This window comes from Homo sapiens, chromosome X (assembly GCF_000001405.40).
Source record: "Homo sapiens chromosome X, GRCh38.p14 Primary Assembly".
Taxonomy (NCBI): Eukaryota; Metazoa; Chordata; class Mammalia; order Primates; family Hominidae; genus Homo; species Homo sapiens.
In genome coordinates this window covers 107,467,159-107,488,374 of record NC_000023.11, presented here as the reverse complement: position 1 = coordinate 107,488,374, position 21,216 = coordinate 107,467,159, and the positions used below count along the sequence as shown (strand labels likewise).

General features: G+C 45.7%; 1 protein-coding gene across 2 annotated transcripts in view, besides 1 other annotated feature; it reads right to left on the bottom strand.

Annotated features, from left to right (window-relative positions):
* FRMPD3 (FERM and PDZ domain containing 3) overlaps positions 1 to 21,216 on the bottom strand; it is a 155,600-nt gene that overhangs the window by 116,877 nt on the left and 17,507 nt on the right. The gene's annotated exons all lie outside the window — the stretch shown is intronic.
* Positions 3,742 to 4,300: an enhancer, noted in NCBI's record as "H3K4me1 hESC enhancer chrX:106727305-106727863 (GRCh37/hg19 assembly coordinates)". NCBI's record gives its function as "activates a minimal SCP1, AML or CMV promoter by ChIP-STARR-seq in primed H9 embryonic stem cells {active_cell/tissue: H9 hESC(primed)}" and the evidence as "EXISTENCE:reporter gene assay evidence [ECO:0000049][PMID:30033119]".

The following is a 21,216-nucleotide window of genomic DNA, read 5'->3' as shown; positions in this document are numbered from 1 at the left end:
AGATCTGGGCCCTGGTTCTTTGGACGGAAATAGCAGAGCATGCGGCTGTGATGGTTCTCAGAGCAAGTGGAGACATAATGATGAGGCCATTCAGGGTCCTTGTCAAAACCATGTGGATCTGGGGTGAAATTTCAATCATCTTACCAGCTGGCACCAGAATCCTTCTTAGGGAGGGAACTGGGACTGTCTTTAGGAAAAGGTTTTGATAAGCTGCTTGCCTTGACAGCATGGGTAGGCAGGAGCCAAGGCAACGGAGGAAAGAGCTTAACGCTGTGTGGTAACATTAAACAGGACTCAGAGATTGCAGAGAGAGCAGAGAGGAGAGGAGGAGAAGGAGGAGAAAGGGGAAATGAGGCACTGGGTGTGAGCCTAGAGCCTGACTGAGAAAATGACCAAGGGACTTCTTCAGCCCAGGATTGCTAACTTTAAATGTTCAGTTGTTTGTGCTGCTGCGAGGAAAATCCTTTTGTCACTCCTAAGCCTTCTACACACATTTCCTTGGGTGAATGGTTATTCGGGTGAGATTAAGGAAGAGAGTGAAGCTCCACGTTTTGGGTGACATGAAAAGATACAAACAAATGGACAACCGGCACTTCTTAACTCTGGCTACACATTAGAATCACCTCAGGAAGCATTTAAAACCTGGGGATGCCCCCAGGGAGTCCCCACAGAGATTCTGGTGTAACTGGTGTGGGATGGGGCCTGGCATCAATATTCAAGTGGAAGTTTAGAAACTCTGGTCTCCGTGGAACTCTTTCTTTTCAGAGAACCATAAATAAGCCTGTGGTGGGGTTGGGGGCAAGGAGAATGGAAGCCCTCCCTGGGAATGCAGAGATCTAGGAAAGCATGGATTTTGAAGGAAACTTATCTCAATGTGAAGGGCAGGGGAGACCATGAGAATATCCAGACTACAGGCATAACTGATGCCATTCACCTCTGACTTCCCTCTTGGCTGTCCATAATGCCTCCCAACCCAAGCAATTATGACTTCCAACTCAACCCATTATGCCTCACCATGTTGCATTGCAAACATCTCTTATCTTTCATTCTTACCAAGCATTATTTTCCCTGGATCCCATTTCTTTTTGATAATTATTTTTTCATTTTTTAAAAATTTTTTTGAGATGGAGTCTTGCTCTGTTGCCCAGGCTGGAGTGCAGCGGTGCGATCTCAGCTCACTGTAACCTCCACCTCCAGGGTTCAAGCAATTCTCCTGCCTCAGCCTCCCAAGAAACTGGGATTACAGGCGCCCGCCACCACGCTCAGTTATTTTTTTTTTTTTTTGTATTTTTAGTAGAGATGGGGTTTCACTATGTTGGCTAGGCTGGTCTCGAACTCCTGACCTCAGGTGATCCGCCCACCTCAGCCTCCCAAAGTGCTGGGATTACAGGTGTGAGCCACAATGCCCGGCCCTAGATCCCATTTCTCAGTGAGCCTACTCTTTGACAGGTAAAACCCAGTGAATCTGCTATATGAAAACTTTCCTTAGACAAAACAAAAATGTACTTTTTTTTTTCAAAGACTGAGAGTTTTTACTTATTTCTTTTTTGAGCTCTTGGTATTCAAGGAAATCTCTGTCAAAACACAAGATGACCACATCCTCTTAAGGAATAGAGATTTCAAAACTTACTACAAAGTTGCACTAATAAAAACACTGTGGTACAGGCATAAGAATGGACATATGCAAGAATGAGCATCTACAAATAAACCCATTTATCTACAGTCAATCGATTCTTTGACAAGTGTGGCAGGAACTTTCAATGGCAAAAGAATAATCTCTTCAACAAATGGTACTGGGACAACTGGATATCCACGTGCAAAGAAAAAGTTGGACCCTTCCTTTATCCCATATACAAAGCTCAATCCAAAATGGACCAAAGACCTAAATATAACAGCTAAAATATAAAACCTTCAGAAAAAATATGGATGTAAATTAAAAAATGTACATTTTAACAAAGGTCTTTGGAGGACAATGCCTTGACCCAACGCAATAATTTTCAGGGATCTTGGCAAAGCATGGAGAAAATATTTTGTGGTCAGAAGGGACCTGTGGAGATCCTCAAAGCACACCATGTGGGTAGATAACCATGAAGCTGATTACTGAAGATGTAAGTCTGAGAAATATCTGGAACAGTTGAGCCCATTCTTCTGGGATCACTGGAGATGGCACCCAGGAAAGGGTCAGGCGTGTCCCAGGCCTCCAGGGCTCTTTTCACATCCAACCGTGTCTTCCTCCCCAATCCTCCACAGTCCCTCCTAGCTCTTTACTTTTCCAGCATTTTATGCAGCTTGAATAAAGTAAGCTTGATAGGCCAAGCTACCAGTTAAAAGCTCACTCCGTCATGGACAAGGCAGGAGTCAGCATTTTAGCAGCAGTTTAGTCGCGGCCAGAGAAGACAAAGGCAGAGAATGGCCGATTGCAGGTGCCAATTCCCTGGTTTTTATAGGCTGGTGCCTGAGGGATGGATCATCCTGCCTTACCCCCTGGAACTAAAGGTGACAAATGAATGCTCTTCAGTGGGAAAGCTATTAAGTGGGATGGGACCAAGCAAAAAGGACCAGTTCTCTTTTCCCTATATCCCTGCTTCCTTCCACTCCTGCCCTCAGCACTGGGGTAATGGCCTGGCTTAAGGGGATGAGATAAAATGAGGCCTCAGAGGGTACTGGCAGGGACCAGGTGGTCACAGCTCCCCTTTCTCAAGATAATTTACTCAGGGGCAGGAGCTAAAATTGATCAGATGAGGCTCTAAGTCAGAATGAAACCTGTTAATTTGTTACACCGTTTTAGAACTTCACAGATACCTATCTTATTGAACACAGCACTGAGGTGCTTTTTAAAACCTAGGAAGCCAATTAAACCCAGGAAGAAACCTGCATATTTTCTAACGTGGTTGAATAAAATTGAAACTGTTGCTACATCTGAATAGAACTGAAACATAATTTGGTCCAGGATCCTTCTCAGTAGCTGGGACATGCTTGTTTGGGAACTCTTTCCTTGGCCTCAATCTTTTCCCCAGAGCCACCCCTTCTCCCGAAAAGAAAATCCTGACAGGCACAGTCCTGCAGTCTTTGCAGTCCCTGCAAAGACTCGCCCAGTCCTAAATCAGTTTCCTGAGGAACTGTCTCACCAGCAGAGGAACCCAAGCTCCATGCACAAGAAGCTCACTTCATTCGTGTGCCTTCCCCTTTCCTTCCCCCTTACCAAGTTACTTGGTTGGCCTAGCCCACTGGCGTGACTAAATTGGAACATTCTTTCAGGGTATGCGGTTCTTTCCAAGAGAGTTCAGAAGAACCAGGAAACAGACATTTCTGATACAGAACAAACAGAATCTGGGGTTCCCTTCCCTTCATAAGTCTCGCATCTTGCCACAACCAGATCTTTGGCTTTCCCAATTAGCCAATCATATTCTTTGGGATTGACACCCACCTCTGGGAGGTTGACTGAACTGTCAGTAGTCCTGGAGGTGAAGGGTGATGCTGAAGCAGGCACGGGGAAAACGAGCAGCTTCTATTCTTCAGAGGCAGCAGAGACTATTGCTGGACTCTACAAAGCATGGCTGCCTGACCAGTATCTATTCCCAGTTGGACCTGCCCTGGTCTGTACCCTCCCTAAAGGACCCCAGGTTACTGGACTTTTCTATTTTTGGCGATCCATGGATAGGCACCTCAGCCTTCTGCCCTGGCTCTAAGACCCAGTACCTGGACTACTTCTCATCTCTCTTTTCCCCTGCTCCTCCTAGTTAAGACCCACACCAGGCTCCCCTCCCCCTAGCCCCAGGGGAGCCAGCTGGAGCCAGCGATGACGCAGCTTGTCAGGGCAGGAGATTGATGGCAGGCCCTCTGCTTTCTTTCCCCGCCCCTTCTTCTACTGTCTTGCTCTCTCCCTTTCTGGGATTTGGGGAGGAGGGAGGAGGCAGAGAGGGAGAATGCTTAGCTGTTCCATTCACATTCTTCTTAATTCAAGGGCTTTTGCTAGTCCTCACTTGATGGAGCTCAGCTGAGAAGACGCTAGCCTTTCAGAGAGAAGAGGGTTAGGGAATCCAGCTCCCTCCCTGTTACCTCCCTGCTGCCTGGCCCAGTGCTGGTTCTGACCGGAGGCCCCTTTCTTCCCCAGCAGCACTGGGTTGGGCAGTTTGCCTTGGGCCCATCTGGCACCATAATCCGCAAGCCCCTGGGAGGGCCCAGTGAACTCATTTGGAAGCTTTGGGCCTGTGCTATAGGAAAGTGGGGGCAGTGGGCTTCGAGCGTAGCCAGAAGGAGCTACTCTGATCTCAAGGACCCACCTGACTCCCCACCCCCACCACCCCATGGGGGTTTCTACAGCCAGTTCCTGGCCCTGCCACAGCCCCTCCCCTGCAGCCCAGGGAGGGTGAGTGAGTGTCTGGTGGGGTCTTGATAGGGCACTATGTGGACATAACAAAGCTCTCCAGCTGAGAGCCCCTGGCCACTGTCACCCCCCTTGCACACCCAGTGTATATGTTCTTTTGCAGTGAAAAGCACCAACAGGAGGCCTCCATCCAGATAGGCAGGCAGAGAGCAAGAGAGGGAGCTCAGCGAACCCCACCCCTACCCCACGCCCGCATTAGGCCCTACAGACCCAGGATGTGTTCTGGCTGTGACAGCTGATTACAGAGGGGCAGCTGGGAGGGCAGAGCACAGAAAACAGGGGACACAGCAGTCAGAGTCACGATGCAGACAGACAGTTGGCACCATTCTGCCAGGAAGAAAACGAGCATCCAAGATGTGGTGGCTGAGCCAAACAGGTGGGTAGAGCACAAGGGCAGAAAATCCAGGGCTGAGAAAGCCCAGAATTCTGGGAGCCATCATGAGGGTGAGCCCCAGACCCCAAGAGACCTGCCTCACTGGATTTTCTGCTTTTGTGCTCAGAAAGTGGCTGCCAAGAACAAAAGGTCTCAGCCTGGGTCCAGGGTACACTGGAAGAGCCTCAGTGGGGGAAGTTAGGAGCCTAGGGATGGGTTGCCATAGGGCACTGGCTGATGGCAGTAGTCTACTCAGTGCCTTTGTGTAAAAAGCTCAGAAAAAGTTACTCCTTCTGGGTGAATGCAGCCCCACAAACACTATAGCTTTATCAGATGAAAAATGTATCCCTTCATCCAGGTCCACTTAGTCTTGCACCAGGGAACATGGTTTGGGGAGCAGAACATGGGCTGGATTTCCATTCCTACTTAACCCTCTTGGCTGAGTACCTTTATGCAGTTCACAGCCTGCACAACTATATATGGTAGCCCTATCTGCAGCAAATAACTCCCCTCCTACTCCATACTGAGGCTGAGAGAGACTGAGCTGCCAATGCCTTGCTCGCATCCCATACTCATTCGTTCCAAAGCATGGAAACAGCTGGGTCTATAGACGGAGACAATGGTGAGCCTGACTGGGACATCAGACCAGTGGGTTGAGGTAGTGATGCCTTTTTCTTTTTGAGGGAGTTTTTTTGAGAACTGCCCTGTTCCTTCTGCCCATCAACAACTTTGCAACTTTCTGTTTTTACTGTGTTTTATTCTATTGTGAAAATCATGCATGCCTTTTGCATCCTTCAACCTCTCTTGCACTTACCTCTTCAAGAGCTGCCACTTAACTGCCCTGCTCAATAGTGTTGATACTCCTACTCAAGCAAACTCTTTGGTGACTCTGCTCTCTCATAGTCTGCTCTAAAATGAAAATTAAGCTACATTATTGTGATAGTGATCCTCCATTTCCCTATATATACATTGGATATGGAGTAAGTTCCTTCCTGTTCTGGGGTCTTGTGACTCTGAAGAGCCCCTATTCCTCCTGCCCCAAGGTTTGCTCCTTAGTCCTCCCCTCCAGCAACCCAACAGAGGATCATGTGGCCCTGGAGGCTGGGGTGAAGAAAAACATGGGCCCCAAGGCAGAATCTGGTGACCCTTGGGCTCCAAGTCAAAAGTAAGAAGAGTTGGGCCAGGTGTAACAGACTGAGATCAGGAGCTTCAGACTGAGACCAAGGGAGATGGTCAAGCCTTTATTCAGCCAGCAGCTACCTACTAGCAAGCACTTCACTGACATTATCTACATTTTGGAATGGCCTTTCCAGTAAGCCTCTGCTGACAAAGGAGAAGGAGGGGGAGCAGGCTGGAGAGAGAGTGAGGACCTACTGGAGCTTGGCCTGACTCCAGAGCATGGCCACCTTGCTGTGGGAAGACCGGGGGGAGGAGGGGAAAGCCTTTTCCAAGACTGGGTTTCAGTCAGTGCCGCCTTGCAAAGATGTTTGAGAGAAAAAAACAAAACAAACAAACAAAAAAACCTCTCAGCTCACGGGGGTTTTGCTTGCCAGCACAATGTATCTCATGATTTATAAAAAAGGACTGGACTGGGACTTGGGGGCTCTACCTGGACTAATTAGCTGGGTAGCCTTGGTTAAGTCCCTTCCCCTCACTGAGTCTCGGTTTACTTATGTGCAAAATTAGGAAGGAAATTGAACTAGTAAATAATCTCTAACATTCTAGCCTATCCTAGTCTATCCAATCTCCCACCTACATTCATGTGTTATAACTACACTGCATTAACCCTTGCTTACAGCCTGATTTCTTTTAGACCCAGCCTCAATTATTTTGGAACATGGTTCTCAAACATGACTTAGAAAGAGATCTAATTTTCAAGAAGGGTGAAGTCCTACAGATTCAGAAGTTGAGGTGAGGGCTCACCAAGGATTCATTCTGACCAGCTCTTCTCCAGACCAGCTTCTTTCCTTCCATTAGGCCCCGCTGCTTGCCCAAGCGCTAGCTCTCCCTCTCTCTTGCTCTCTCTCTCCCTCTCTCTTCATTTTCTTTGTGGCATTTATCCTTTATGGTGATTAATGTAGACACCAGGCAAATGCTGGCCAAGGGAAAATGTAAATTAAGTCCCTGTCCCTCTTCCTTGTGCACTAGGAGGGTCAAAAGCCTATCTGCTGAGGAAGGATGAGTCCCTGGTGGGCAGGTCTAGCAAAGCAACATTGGGGACAAAGGGATCCCTACAAATTACAGTTCATCATGTGGTTGGGGAGCTGGACTCCAACCTAATGACTCTGTTTGTTGGTGCTGAACTCACTCTCAGGCCCTGCCAGCACTGAGATGGATGGCACCTTTATACTCCAGGCAAGAATATCTGGAGGGCCCTAGTGCTGGAGCAGATCTTCCCCTTCTCCCTCATCAGCAAAGCCTCAAATGGCCAACAGATCACACACAGGGAGGTCCGGGTGACTGAGTCACAGGTCCGTCCTTTTGACATTTCCTCTCACCCAAGCTTGGGCTATCAAGCCATTCTGGGTCACCTTTCAGAGAGCCCTTCTGACCCCCACCTAGAAGATGTGTAGTTTGATGAGATTTCGAGAGTAAAGCTGGGTGGCACAAAGCTAATCTAAATGAACTGGTGATAGTTTCAGCAATGTCTGTTTCTTTCTTTCTTTCTTTCTTTCTTTCTTTCTTTCTTTCTTTCTTTCTTTCTTTCTTTCTTTCTTTCCTTCCTTCCTTCCTTCCTTCCTTCCTTTCTTTCTTTCCTTCTTTCTTTCTTTCTTCTTTTTTTTTTTTTTTGACGGAGTTTCACTTTCGCCTAGGCTGGAGTTTAGTGGTGTGATCTTGGCTCACTGCAACCTCCGCCCCCCGGGTTCAAGCAATTCTCCTGCCTCAGCCTCCTGAGTAGCTGGGATTATAGGCACCCGCCACCACATCTGGCTAATTTTTGTATTTTCAGTAGAGACAGGTTTTGCCACGTTGGCCAGGCTGGTCTCAAACTCCTGACCTCAGGTGATCCACCTGCCTCGCCCTCCCAAAGTTCTAGGATTATAGGAGTGAGCCACTGCACCCAGCCAGCAACGACTGTCTCTCTGCTTCATTCACACATAGAAACCACAATCACCACCATGGCCCATAGGAGGTATGAGGCAGAAACTGCATAGTCAGCTTCTGAGTAACTCAGAGCCCTTGAGAAACACGTAACTGTGAGCTATGTTATGCTGTGACCTAAGTACCCTCCATGTAACAACTTTCACTCATCCCAAGTATCAGTCAGAGTTGACGACTGGCTCAGCTTTGCCATTTTACCTATCAATGGATCAACAATGCTCAACTGCACAGGGACTCATCTATTGCCTCCTCTCCATCACCACACTCCAATCTTCCACATGCTCTTAGAGCCTGCGACTCATCTTTGGTACAATCTTTGGCTGCTATGGATAGCCTGGTGTCTATTTCTCCAGAAGCCTGCTCACATTAAGAATTTCTTTTCTTCCCTACATTTTATTATGAATATTTTCAAATATACACAGCAGCTAAAGTATCCTTAAGACCAATACAATAATCATGGTTTTTTTTTTTTTTTTAAATGAGACAGGGTTTTGGTCTTGAACTCTTGGCTTCAAGCAATCCTCCTGCCTCTGCCTCCCAAAGTGTTAGGATTACAGGCATAAGCCACCATGCCCAGCCTTGTAATCACCTTTTTAATTCAACATTTATTAAAATTTTGGCCAGTTTTGCACCCTCTCTCTCTCTCTGTGTGTGTGTGTGTGTGTGTGTGTGTGTGTAATCATGGTAAAATATACATAATATAAAATTTACCATCCTAACCATTGTTAAGTGTATGATTCAGTGGAATTAGGTCCCTTCACAATGTTGTGAAACCATCACCACCATTCATCTCCAGAGCTTTGTCATCACCCCAAACAGGAGCTCTGTACCCATTAAACAATAGCTCCCCACCCCCAGCCCCTATTTATATCTAAATGCTGTACCATTTTAAAGTTTCAAACATCATATTTCAGCCCCTAAATATTTCATCAGTCATCTCCTAAAAATTAGAACATTCCTACATAACCACAATACTATTCTCACACCTAAGAAATTCACAGCAATCTACTATCCAGTTGTCAGGGTCTTCCTAAATAAACAAAAGTTTCTACACTTAAAATGAAGGGAATGAGTCACATTTAGTTGTTTCATATACTATGAAGTGCTATGTAAACGTGAGGCATTAATAATCTTATTAGATGATCTTAAAAGTTTTTTTCAGCTCAAAATTCAATTAATGTTTATGATTTTCCAAAGGGTTCCCCCTCCAGAGCAGTTGATGTGGCCAGGAGCCACTCTCAACACCTTCCCAGCTCCCTAAGGCAGGGAGGCAATCCCTATGGGTGGAAGCAATGGCCTTCCTTAATTCCAGCCCAGCCTCCTATATCCTTACAAGTGATTAGCAATAAACAAATACATCAAATAAATCCATACAAATCCCAGCACTGTGATGCCACAGAAAAGTATAAAGGCCACGAAACAGGTTCTCCAGACTCAAGCATGGAGGAGCCTTAAGTCCTTGGCCACAGCCAAGTGGGGGGCTTCAGCAGCACAGGGAGGACTGCAGCAGCCAACTTGGTCATTGGTTCGGGGGTGGGGTGGAGAGACAGGTGCCAAAGAACCTAGTGGGGTGCCGAGCAGCCTCATTCTCCACCTCTAGCACTACCCCCACCCCACCCCAAACCAGATTCTCAGCTCTGTTAGCTTAGCACAGAACACAAGCCCCTCACATGTTTGAGCTGCTTAGTCTCTGTATTTGTCTCTGCCTCCAGATATCTGCACACGGTCACCAATCACTTGAGTTTTCGGCTGCTTTTTACCCAGCCATCTTAACAATCAATTTCTGTATGATTGCATGGCTCGGCTTTACAATCTAGCAAAACCAGGCATGGAGTCAAACATTTTTTTTTTCTTTATTTATATTGTGTCTTGTTTCAGAAAGGATTTAAAACGAGGAGACGAACATTTAGTAAACACCCTGGACCAGATGCTTGAAACTGTGCTAGGTTTTATGGAAAATGCAAGAGAGAACACACGGTTTTCTTTTCTTTTAAACCCTCAGTTGAGTTTACAATTCACTTGGGGAGACAAAACTCTCTGAGGAGACAACTAAACCACAACTGCACTGGCCTGGGAACTGGGAGCCTGACATCTAGGTCCTACTTCCAGCTCAGCCACTTGTCAGCTGTGTTATCTTGGAAAAGTCACCTTACCTCTCTGGGCCTCAGTTTCCTTATATGTAAAACAAAGGGGCTGTATATAAATGTCCATATGATCATAGAGACACAACATGGAGACTTGCAATACTGGTTTTCTGAGAGGATGGGATTTGAGAGGCTTGAGAGGGAGATTACTTCTCTAACCCTCTATTTTTTGACTTGTTATAATAAGCATATATTACTTTTGTGGTTAAATAAATCTAGCATTTACAAATGAGAATGAATGGAACTAGCTAAATTCTCATTTAGCTCTAACCATAGTCTGTGATTATCTGTTGTTCAGATGACACAGAGCCTTCTGAGTTGGGAGAAGGGAAAGCTTACTGAGGATTCTGATAGCCAGAGGAGGCTTCCTGGAGGAGATGAGGATCTAGGTGGGTCTTGAAGGGCCGGCATGCTTTGGATTAGTAGAGACAAGGAGAGGGCATCTCTGGCATAAGATGGAGATGAGTAATAAAACTGGCTGAGGCCATAATAGGGGGTGGAGGGCAAAGATGAGAATAACTCTTTCCCAAGGCCCAGACACATCCTAGATTGGAGGGTTTCCTGGGCTGTGGAGTCTGAGAGCTGGAACAGCTTCACTCAGTCCCCCTCTCCAGGGGGCAACCCCCAGGCCCACCTACCATCGCAGCAGCTGCAGAATCTCAGCAGCAGAAAGTCTAGAGTCCCAGCCTGGTGCTCTTGGATCACAGAGTAAGCATAACACTTGGGTATTAGCTAATCAATCTCGTAAATTCATCTCCCTTTTACTGGGATCTGTCAGGAAGCTGATTAAATGCTGTGCGAGTGGGATTTGGCTCAGATGCTAGCCGGGAGCTTGGGGCTGAAGTTTTTCAATGTTCAGCTCATGCATAAAATTCATAGTTTATCATTACCCAGACTTGCTTCTCTAGAACTATCCAGATGGGAATATTTCTATATGACAGTCCCATCCTGGGTGAGCCAGTTGCCTGGCCTCTCCCCCAACAGTTCTCTCTGCAGTAGGTTCTCCCCACCCCCCAGCCCCCCTCCTGCATTTCCACCAGCTCAGCTCTGCCTGCAGAATCACTGAGCCAGGATGCCAGCAGCCCTAGGGCACCCAGCTGGCTCTTCCTGTGTCCTGGGGCACCAAAGGGATTCCCTGGGGCAAGGCCAGCACACTACAACTCCAGTATCCTTAGGCAAAACTAGGGAATAAGTTGGATATCTTTAAGAAGAGACATATATGCTACCACTACCACCCCCTTGTACCAGTCCCTAGCTAGATGCCCTCTGGCTGTCCTTCTAGCTTGGCTTCCCCATTCATTCCTGCTTTCCTTTCTTAAGGCCCCAGGTTCTCTCAAGTCACCTAGGCTTGGAATCCTACCCTGGAGGCCGGTCCTTCCTCTATCCCAAACCCTCAGCCTAACCAGGTGAAGTAATCCCAGCCAACGGGCAGATGGGAAAGAGATGAGGGAAGGGACTGAGCTGAGACTACAAACTTCTTCAGCTTTTTCCTTTCTGAAGAGAGAGTGGTTGTACTTGCCTCTTGCATATGGCCTGAGTTAGGAATGTCCAGCTGTAGCTTCTTCATCTGTAAGGTATCTTCCTGATCTAACATTCTCCTCACCATGATTCTGCATATAACTCTGGCAATCGCAAGAGAATTGGAAACTCTGCATTCATTTCCACTGTCTTCCTCAGTTTCTGGGTAGCCCAAAAGAATAATGATACCAGAAATAGCAGCTACCATTTACTAAGCACTCACTGAATGCCAGGCACTGTGCTAGTCCAGAGATATCAATGTGAGGATCCTGTCTGAGCCTACAGCCTGGCCCAGTAGTAGGGTGACAAAGGCATCAGCACTGGCACCATTACTAAATATGACTAAGCATTGGTGACATGTTTGCAACCGGGAGCTAAGGGGTCTGAATGGTTTGGACAGATACAGCATGTCCTCAGTGGTTAAGATTCTAGTGACGAAATGGGATAAATTATAAAACTTCAGCCAACAAAATCCAATGTATTCGATCTATTGATTGATCATATACCTTTTTTCCTTCACTCAGCTGTTTGGAGAAAGAGGCAAAGAATAATGAAGTAAGCCTGCATAAGGAGATAATTCAAGTAAGTAATTTCCAAGAGATGGTCTGAGTTCAGTCCACATTTTTACATATACTTTCTCCATCTTATAAAAATAACACCACTTCAGGCTGGGCGTGGTGGCTCACGCCTGTAATCCCAGCACTTTGGGAGGCCGAGGTGGGCAGATCACCTGAGGTCAAGAGATTGAGACCATCCTGGCCAACATGGTGAAAACCCGTCTCTACTAAAAATGCAAAAAATTAGCCAGGCCTGGTGGCAGGCACCTGTAATCCCAGCTACTCGGGAGGCTGAGGCAGGAGAATCGCTTGAACCCAGGAGGCGGAGGTTACAGTGAGCCGAGATTGTGCCACTGCACTCCAGCCTGGCGACAAAGCAAGGCTCTGTCTCAAAAATAAAACAAAATAAAATAAAAATAACACCACTTCATTTTACAGGTGAGGAAATTGAGGCTCAGAAATGATAAACCACTGCCCAAAATCACCTGTTAATATGCGGCTGCACTCAAAGTGGAACCCACATCCTCTGACTCCTAGAATTCGGTGTTCTAACTGCTACACCATACAACTTTCTATAAGACTAAATATTATGGCTGATATTTAGAAAGCAAGGTCCTTAGTCATCAAACACAGAATCCATTTCACTGGGCCTTACATTCTAAGACAAGAAAGAGGTTTCATACTTTAGAGAGAACTTCAACAATGAATCAAAATTATAACCCTGATTCACCGGAAAGCTGTGTAATTATCTGCCCATCCTCAAATATTCTGGTCAACAGAGGTTTTGCTCCATCTATGGATAATTCTCCTTTAGGCACCTGGAAATAATAGCTGAGCTGACATTTCATTGGCTCAGAGATTCTTCTCAAACCAATGATTGCTTCCCCCTTTGGATGCTGTTGAGAAAATAGCAGCTCAGGCTAAGGTTGGGGCAGAGGAAAAAGGAACCGCAGAAAACAAAAACACATCCCCAATCAGGGCCCCTCTTCCACAGAGCAGAGCAGACACTTGAAAGTAGCTCAAAGAGGGAGGAGAGCTGGGATTAAGGTGGCTTTCATCGGCCAAATGAAGACCTACTGACACCCGGACAAGAGAGAGAATAATCTCTCTCATACACACATATTCGTATGTGTTATCCATAGATGTGTAATGCATCTGTGTTCCAGGAGAGGAAATTTTTCTCCCTATGAACATACACACACACACACATACACATATTCAGACACATTTGGTGTTCTCTACTCTAAATTCAGAGCTGGTCCCCCTGTTGGAGGTGGGCCTGATAGTACTCTAAAATAAGATTTTGAAATATACACCCGTTCTCCACTTGTAGTCTCCCATACTGAACCTTCATTTAGTCCATTTGTCCTCCTTGGGCTGCAGAGCACAAAATCCCCATCACCAGCCCTGCCAGGGCAATTTAATCTATTGCAGCCTTTGAGCCTTATCCTTTTTCCCCCCCGTGTACTTTCTGCTGTTTCATTTTCTTCAAACTCATATTTTCCAGCACAGAGTAGGCACTTTGCAAATGTTGTTCATTAGTGGCAGTAGTGGCAAGGGGTGGCTTGCAGAGGAATCAGCCTTCCCCCATTAATCCTTAGCATCACCTGCCACTCACCCCCACAAGCTATTTCCAGTGAATATGCAACCTATGTAAAAACCATGTGGCAAAGGGAGTTTTCAGAGAAGCCTCCTAAACCCCCTACCAATGAGATTTTTGCCCCCAAATTCTTCCTATATGACAATTCTGGAAGCCACCTAGTATTTCTCTACATTTTGCTCTTTGAGTTGCCCTCTTTATCTTTTAGCCATTCCTTCATATCTCTCAAACTCCTCTCTTCCTTGATTTCCTCTTTTCCTATCTCTTGATCCCTGTGCTTTTTCTTCTTTATTCTCCTTCCACCTCTCAGGCGTGCATATTCTTCACCTAGCCTCCCTCTCTCTAGACCAAGCCTCAATTCTGGAATCTTCTCTATTCCGAATTCCTTACCTCAAGCTCCAAGGGTTTCAAGCTCTTCCTTCTCTGCAGCTATTGTAAATAAAGGAGAAGCTGCCCTAAGCTGCACGGCCAGGGCAAGTTGTGGCCAGCCCAGATGACCTCCTCCTGCTGTAGGGACTGAGGTTCCCGTGGTAACAGGGAAAGGATACCTGCATCTCTGGGAGGAAGACTGTGTACTTGGAGCTTAGCATTTTGGTTTTGTTTCGTTTTGAGAAAGAGTCTCGCTCTGTAGCCCAGGCTGGAGTGCAATGGTGTGATCTCAGCTCACTGTAACCTCCGCCTCCCAGGTTAAAGCAATTCTCCTGCCTCAGCCTCCCGAGTAGCTGGGATTACAGGTGCCCACCACCACTCCCAGCTAATTTTTTGTATTTTTAGTAGAGACGGGGTTTCACCAAGTTGGCCAGGCTGGTCTCGAACTCCTGACCTCAGGTGATCCACCCGCCTCGGCCTCCCAAAGTGCTGGGATTACAGGCGTGAGCCACCACACCCAGTCCCGAGCTTAGCATTTTGAACAGGCCCTCAAATACACACACCCACACCTGCATCCCTATTTCTTGGACTCAGAAATGTGTTCAAAAGGAAACTGGCCATTTGGGAGAAAAGTGTGTGTATGTTGGGGGTGAGGGTAAAAGAGTGTCATATTACACTAATTAGAACCTCTACTCCTGGCTCTGCCATGTGGAAGTGTAGTAGAAACTTCTCTGCAAAGTCAAGTTTGTGGGGCTCCAAAAGGTCACATGATCTGGACCTAAAGCTTTCTACCTTTGTAGCTAAACTCTGGCAAGGTATCTACCTCTATCACATCCTGAAATCATGTTCAGGGCCAAACAACTGTGGGGTAGAATAGAAAAAGGACAGATTCCGTGCCCGCAAAGGCAAACCTGGCATCTACACAAAAGTCTGCAAATACAAGTGCATCCAGGACATTATGGCCGCCAACTGAAAGGTTTCCAGCCTCTCTGGTTCCAGGGCCTGGAATCCACTGTAACTTTTTCTCACCTCTGCAGCAGCTCATATCTCTCACATAGAGGTGTCAATCAAATACTTTCCGTAGAAAAAGAGAGAAAGGCCAGATTTGGGACCATAACAGATTTGAGTTATGGACCCAACTCTGCCACTTATTAGCCATGTGCCCCTGAGCAAGTCACTACACCTCTCTGAGCCAGTATCTTTTTACATAAACTGAAGATCATTAGAGTGCCTTACTCATGTAAAGTTCTCCGCAAAAGAAGCCACTTAACACTCAGAGAGGGTTTTTGATTGGCTTGGGTAAGGGGTCCTGTTCCAGGAGAGACCTGCCCCTTTTGGGCTGGGTGGTCTGAGTCAGGGCTGGGTAAATTAAGTAACAGCAGCTACCATTTATTAGTGCTTTACCTACATGAGCTCACTGATTCCTCACACCACTTCTGTAAGCTAGAGACTATTTATCTACATTTTGCAGAGGAAGAAATGGAGGTGCTGAGAAATAAAGTGACTTGCCCTAAGTCACAAAATCAGCAAGTGGTAGATCCGGGATGGGAACACAGAAGTGATAAAGGGAAAAAGGAGATGTCAGCAGGTAGTTGCTGGCCTAGTGCACTGTTTTGCCTGGGGCTGGCTGGGCCCCTCTACCTAGCGCCTCAGACCCAACAGGCCCAAGGGAGCCCATGCACCTTTCATTACTGTGAGCCGAGCTCACCCTCCCATAAAAAGTGGCTTGGATGAGAGAACCTGGATACCTTGGTTGCCGGTGAAGGATTCACACACTTATTATGGTTTTCTTTTTTTTTTTTTTATGGGAGCCTCCAAACGCCACTGCTTCTAGTTGGCCACCTTGGCCCTTATACAAAAATTAACTCAAGATGGATTAAATACTTAAATGTAAAACCCTAAATCATAAAAACCGTAGAAGAAAACCTAGGCAATACCATTCAGGACATAGGCATGGGCAAAGACTTCATGACTAAAACACCAAAAGCAATGGCAACAAAAGCCAAAATTGACAAATGAGATCTAATTAAACTAAACAGCTTTTGCACAGCAAAAGAAACGATCATCAGAGTGAACAGGCAACCTACAGAATGGGAAAAAATTTTTGGAATCTACCCATCTGACAAAGGTCTAATATCAGAATTTACAAGTAATTTAAACGTATTTATGAGAAAAAATCAACCCCATCAAAAAGTGGGCAAAGGATATGAACAGACACTTTTCAAAGGAAGACATTTACGTGGCCAACAAACATGAAAAAAAGCTCATCATCACTGATTATCACAGAAATGCAAATCAAAACCACAATGAGATACCATCTCACACCAGTCAGAATGGCGATTATTAAAAAGTCAGGAAACAATAGATGCTGGCAAGGCTGTGGAGAAATAGGAACGCTTTTATACTGTTGGTGGGAGTGCAAATTAGTTCAACTATTGTGGAAGACAGTATGGCGATTCTTCAAGGATCTAGAAACAGAAATACCCTTTGACTCAGCAATCCCATTACTGGGTATATACCCAAAGGAATATAAATCATTCTACTATAAAAACACATGCACACGTATGTTTATTGCAGCACTATTTACAATAGCAAAGACATGGAACCAACCCAAATGCCCATCAATGATAGACCGGATAAAGAAAATGTGGCACACATACACCACGGAATACTATGCAGCCATAAAAAGGAATGAGACCATGACTTTTGCAGGAACATGGATGAAGCTAGAAGCCATCATTCTCAGCAAACTAACACAGGAACAGAAAACCAAACACTGCATGTTCTTACTCATAAGTGGGAGTTGAACATTGAGAACACATGGACACAGAGAGGGGAACAACACACACCAGGGCCTGTTGGGGGGATGGCGGGTGGGAACTTAGAGGACAGGTCAATAGGTGCAGCAAACCACCATGGCACACCTATACCTATGTAACAAACCTGCACGTTCTGCACATGTATCCCGTTTTTTTTTTTAGAACAAAGAAAGAAGGAAGGAAGGGAGGGAGGGAGGGAAGGAAAGAAGGAAGGAAGGAAGGAAGGAAAGAAGGAAGGAAGGAAGGAAGGGAAAGAAGAGGCTTGGAGCAGACACTGCGACTGCGGCAGTGGCCTGTGGGAGGCAGCCAAGGGCTAGCTCAGCATAAATGACAAACCCTCCTGCTTCAGCCCCTTGTGCGAAGCTAAAATTAACAACTTTCCCAACTGCAAACAAACGCAATTGCTGAACCTGCATTCCCCTCTACTGCTTCTGCTGCCAAGGAGCTTCCTGGGCCTCATCCTAGCTTTCTCCTTATTCCCTGGCCACGCCCATAGCGCTGGGCTTTCTGAGCAAAGGCAGGTGATACTCTACACAACAAACTTGAGCTTGGATCTTAGGAGGGTCCCAGGACTTCAGCAACCCTGGGTGTGGGTCAAATACCTTCCAGGTACCACCACCCACCCTTTGGTTCCTCTCTTTGCTCTTTAGGTACCCAACACTTTTGGCTACCACTAAGTCCAGTAATTATTTATGCTGGCTTCCAATTAGCCAGGAGATTCCAATTTTTCATTTCACTAGGGCCTTTTCTTTTACCTCCTACCATCAATACTTATCCATCTGTGATAGCCAGCCTGTAAAATGTTGCCAAATAATCCCCACCTCCTGATGTTCACACCCTTGTGTATCCCCTCCCCTGAGCATGGTCTGAACCTAGTAACTCACTTCTAATGAATAGAATATGGCAGAAGTGATGGGATATAACTTCCAAGACAAGGTTATAAAAAGACTGTGGCTTCTGCCTTGGGCTGGCCTAGGTGTGCACTCTCTCTGTCTCATCAATCATGCCACAGAAAGCAAGCTGCTGTGTTGTGAGGAGCAACCTAATAGAGAGGCCCAAATGGCATGACAAGGAACAGAAACTCTCAGTCCAACAGCCTGTGAGGAAACGAAGCCTGCCAGCACCACATGAGTGAGTTTGGAGGCACATCCGTCAGCCCCAGTTGAGTCTTCAGATACTGCAACCTTGACCCACAGCTTGAATGCAACCTCATGAGTGACCCTGAGCCAGAACCACCCAACTAAGTCATAACCAAGTTCCTGATCCAAAGAAACTGTAAGATGATGTTTATTGTTGTTTATTGGCTAAATGTTGGGATAATTTGTTATACAGAAATAGTATCCATTTCCTCAAAGCTCTGCTTTATCCCAATTGACAATGGCTGGTGATCTAATGTTCAATTTCTCTTTTTTTACTGCCAGATAAGAGGAGACCTTAATTCAGTTAAAAATACTTGAGTCTTCAGATTGCTACTAATGAACACTGGGGATTTTAGATGCTGGCGGAAGGCTAATAGAAACGATTACTGGGGCAGAGTGTCCACCGTTACTTTGCATACAGTGAGTCCTAAGCCTAGGCAATGTTCACAGTGTCTTAGAATCCTCAGATGATCAAACTTTGACCCAAATATACAAATTAAGGGCAGTATCCAGACTGTACCCTCCTCATACCAGTTTCCTCTTTGGATAATGATAGCTAAAGTTTATTGAGTACTAACTAAATAAGCACTGTTCTATGCACTTCACAATTATTAACTCATTTAATCCTCATAACCACCCCATTCTAAAGAAGAATAAACTGAGGCACAGAGGAGTTAAGCAACTTGTCCAAGTTCACAGTCACTAAGTGGCAGAGCTGGGATTTGAGCCCATGCTCATAACCATATTACTCATGGGAAGTCCACATGTGTTGGGCAAAAGGAAGGATTCTGGTTACCAAGAGGTATCAGAGCCCTTTCTTTCTATCCTTTTCTTCCTTTCATTTTGATATGGTTTGGCTCTGTGTCCCCACCCAAATCTCATCTTGTAGCTCCCATAATTCCCACATGTTGTGGGAGGGACCCAGTGGGAGATGAATGAATCATGGGGGCAGGTCTTTCTCATGCTGTTCTCATGATAGTGAATGGGTCTCATGAGATCCGATGGTTTTAAAACCATTTTAAGCCATCTTTGCCTGCTGCCATCCACGTGAGATGTGACTTGCTTCTCCTTGCCTTTTGCCATGATTGTGAGGCCTCCCCAGCCATGTGGAACTGTAAGTCCAATAAACCTCTTTCTTTTGTAAATTGCCCAGTCTCAGGTATGCCTTTATCAGCAGTGTGAAAATGGACTAATATACATTTCCTTGCTCAAAAACCTACAGCAGTTTTTCAATGCCTACTGGATCAAGTCCAAAGTCCTCTTCATGACCCTTACCATAATCCACCACCACTCTACATATCTTTCTCTATTCTCCACCACATAACTTCTACCTGTAGCTACAATAATCCCCTGGTTTCCCCATATATCATCTTCCTGATTTTCTCCCACCTGAAAATCATCAATGTTTGTTGGAAACAATTAGGTGTGAAATATGAAAGGGTTTTATAGTCAGATCATCTGGAGAAATGTTGAAGACCCTTTCTCTTACAGTGGTTGTGTGAAATTCCAAAGAGAAGACTATGGATCCTCTACCCACGTGGAGGTGTATCTCTCAGTTTTGCCAAAGTGAGGCCAATGCTGCAAAGCAGGTGGCCAAAGCTCTGTCTCATGCACTGCACTGAGCCAGACCCCATCTCCTCCCGAAAGTCTTCCCCAGTTTTTCCTGCCCACATTTTTCTTATTTCTGAAATCTGATGCTATCTGTAGTCTGAGGCACGCAATGTAGACTGTTCTCAGGCCATTCAATTCTTAATTCAAATGTCACCTCTTCAGAGAAGCCTTTCCTGGCTGCTCTAGCTGAAGTAGCTCCCTGTTACTCCTCAGCACAGCCCCTTGTTTCTCTCCTTCCTAGCACATGTCAATACAAATAGTGATTATTTATTTGTTCACTTTTAAACACGTGTCCCTATTGAAACACATGCTCCAGCAGGGCAGGGATTTTGTCTGTCCTGTTCACCATTGTATCCCCAGCATCTAGAACAGAGCCTGGCACATAGGAGGTGCTCAATGAATATTTGTTCGTTGAATGAAAAAAATATTTCACCTGCAAGTTCGTTTGTGTGCTTTTCCCTAGCTAGAGAACAAGTTTCATAAGGGCAAGGCCTATGTTATTGTCTTCAGTTTTCCATGGCATCTAGTAAATCCTGAGACCATACTTCGGGGAGTAAAATTGTTCTTGCCCATGCCTCAATGTTTTCATTCATTTAACCACACCACCCTGCCTTAATAGACTGCCTAGGATGGGGAGAAGTAGAGTAGGGGTGGGCTTTTTGACTGCACAAAGTTCTAGTCTTGAACTTTCCAAAGAGGTGATCTGCAGAAACCCAATGCGGGAGTGGGAAGATTGGCAGGTTTTCTGCAGTTTCTGGGTAATGGGAAGAGTCTTTGTAGTGGAGAAGCCACAAAGAAGTCAAAAGGAAAGATAGAAGGGCCTACCAGACAGGAAAAAGCTGAAGGCCATCAATATATGTTGAAGGAAAGGAAATCTAAGGAAATCTTGGTCTTAGAACAGGAGCTGGCATTCGGTACCTAAACTGCAGGGTGGCTAGGACATTTTGAGGCTGCAAAGCAAACTGTGGGAGTCTCTGTCTGAGTAGGAATGTGGAATAATACTGCAGGCCTCAGTGACCTTGGTGTGGGTGAGGAAAAATGGAGAGAGAGAGAGAGGCCTAGACTCTTCACATCTAAAAACAGAAATAATCTAGTGAGAGAGGGGGAAAAACCCATTTCCTAACCTTAATGCAGTTAGGGAGCAGAATAAACTGCCTAGTGAGGATCTTGAGTCATTGGTATTAGAATCATTCAAACTAGGGGAAATCGGCCAGACACGATGTTCCATGTAAAAGGAACTATGATAAATAGACCTTTAGTGATGTAGTCATAAGGTGTGAGGGGAAAGGAAGTCCCCTATAAGTAGCAAGGGACTACTTATCTATAGTCCTATGCTTAGGTCTCTTGGTGAGCCTGTGCCTATGGACTGTGAACGTGGTCAGTGGGGGGAGGTGTTGGAGTCAGTCCTCGGAGGCCACCACACATGTGCTTGCACTCTCTCTCTGTCACACACACACACTCACACTCACATTTACACTTTTGCACACTAAATGGAAAAAAACAATTCTGCTCCATCTTCCTACAGCTTATCTGTTTCATTGATGACAAAAGGGCTATCACGCTATAAAGAATGTATTACTTCTCCTCACTGACAAGT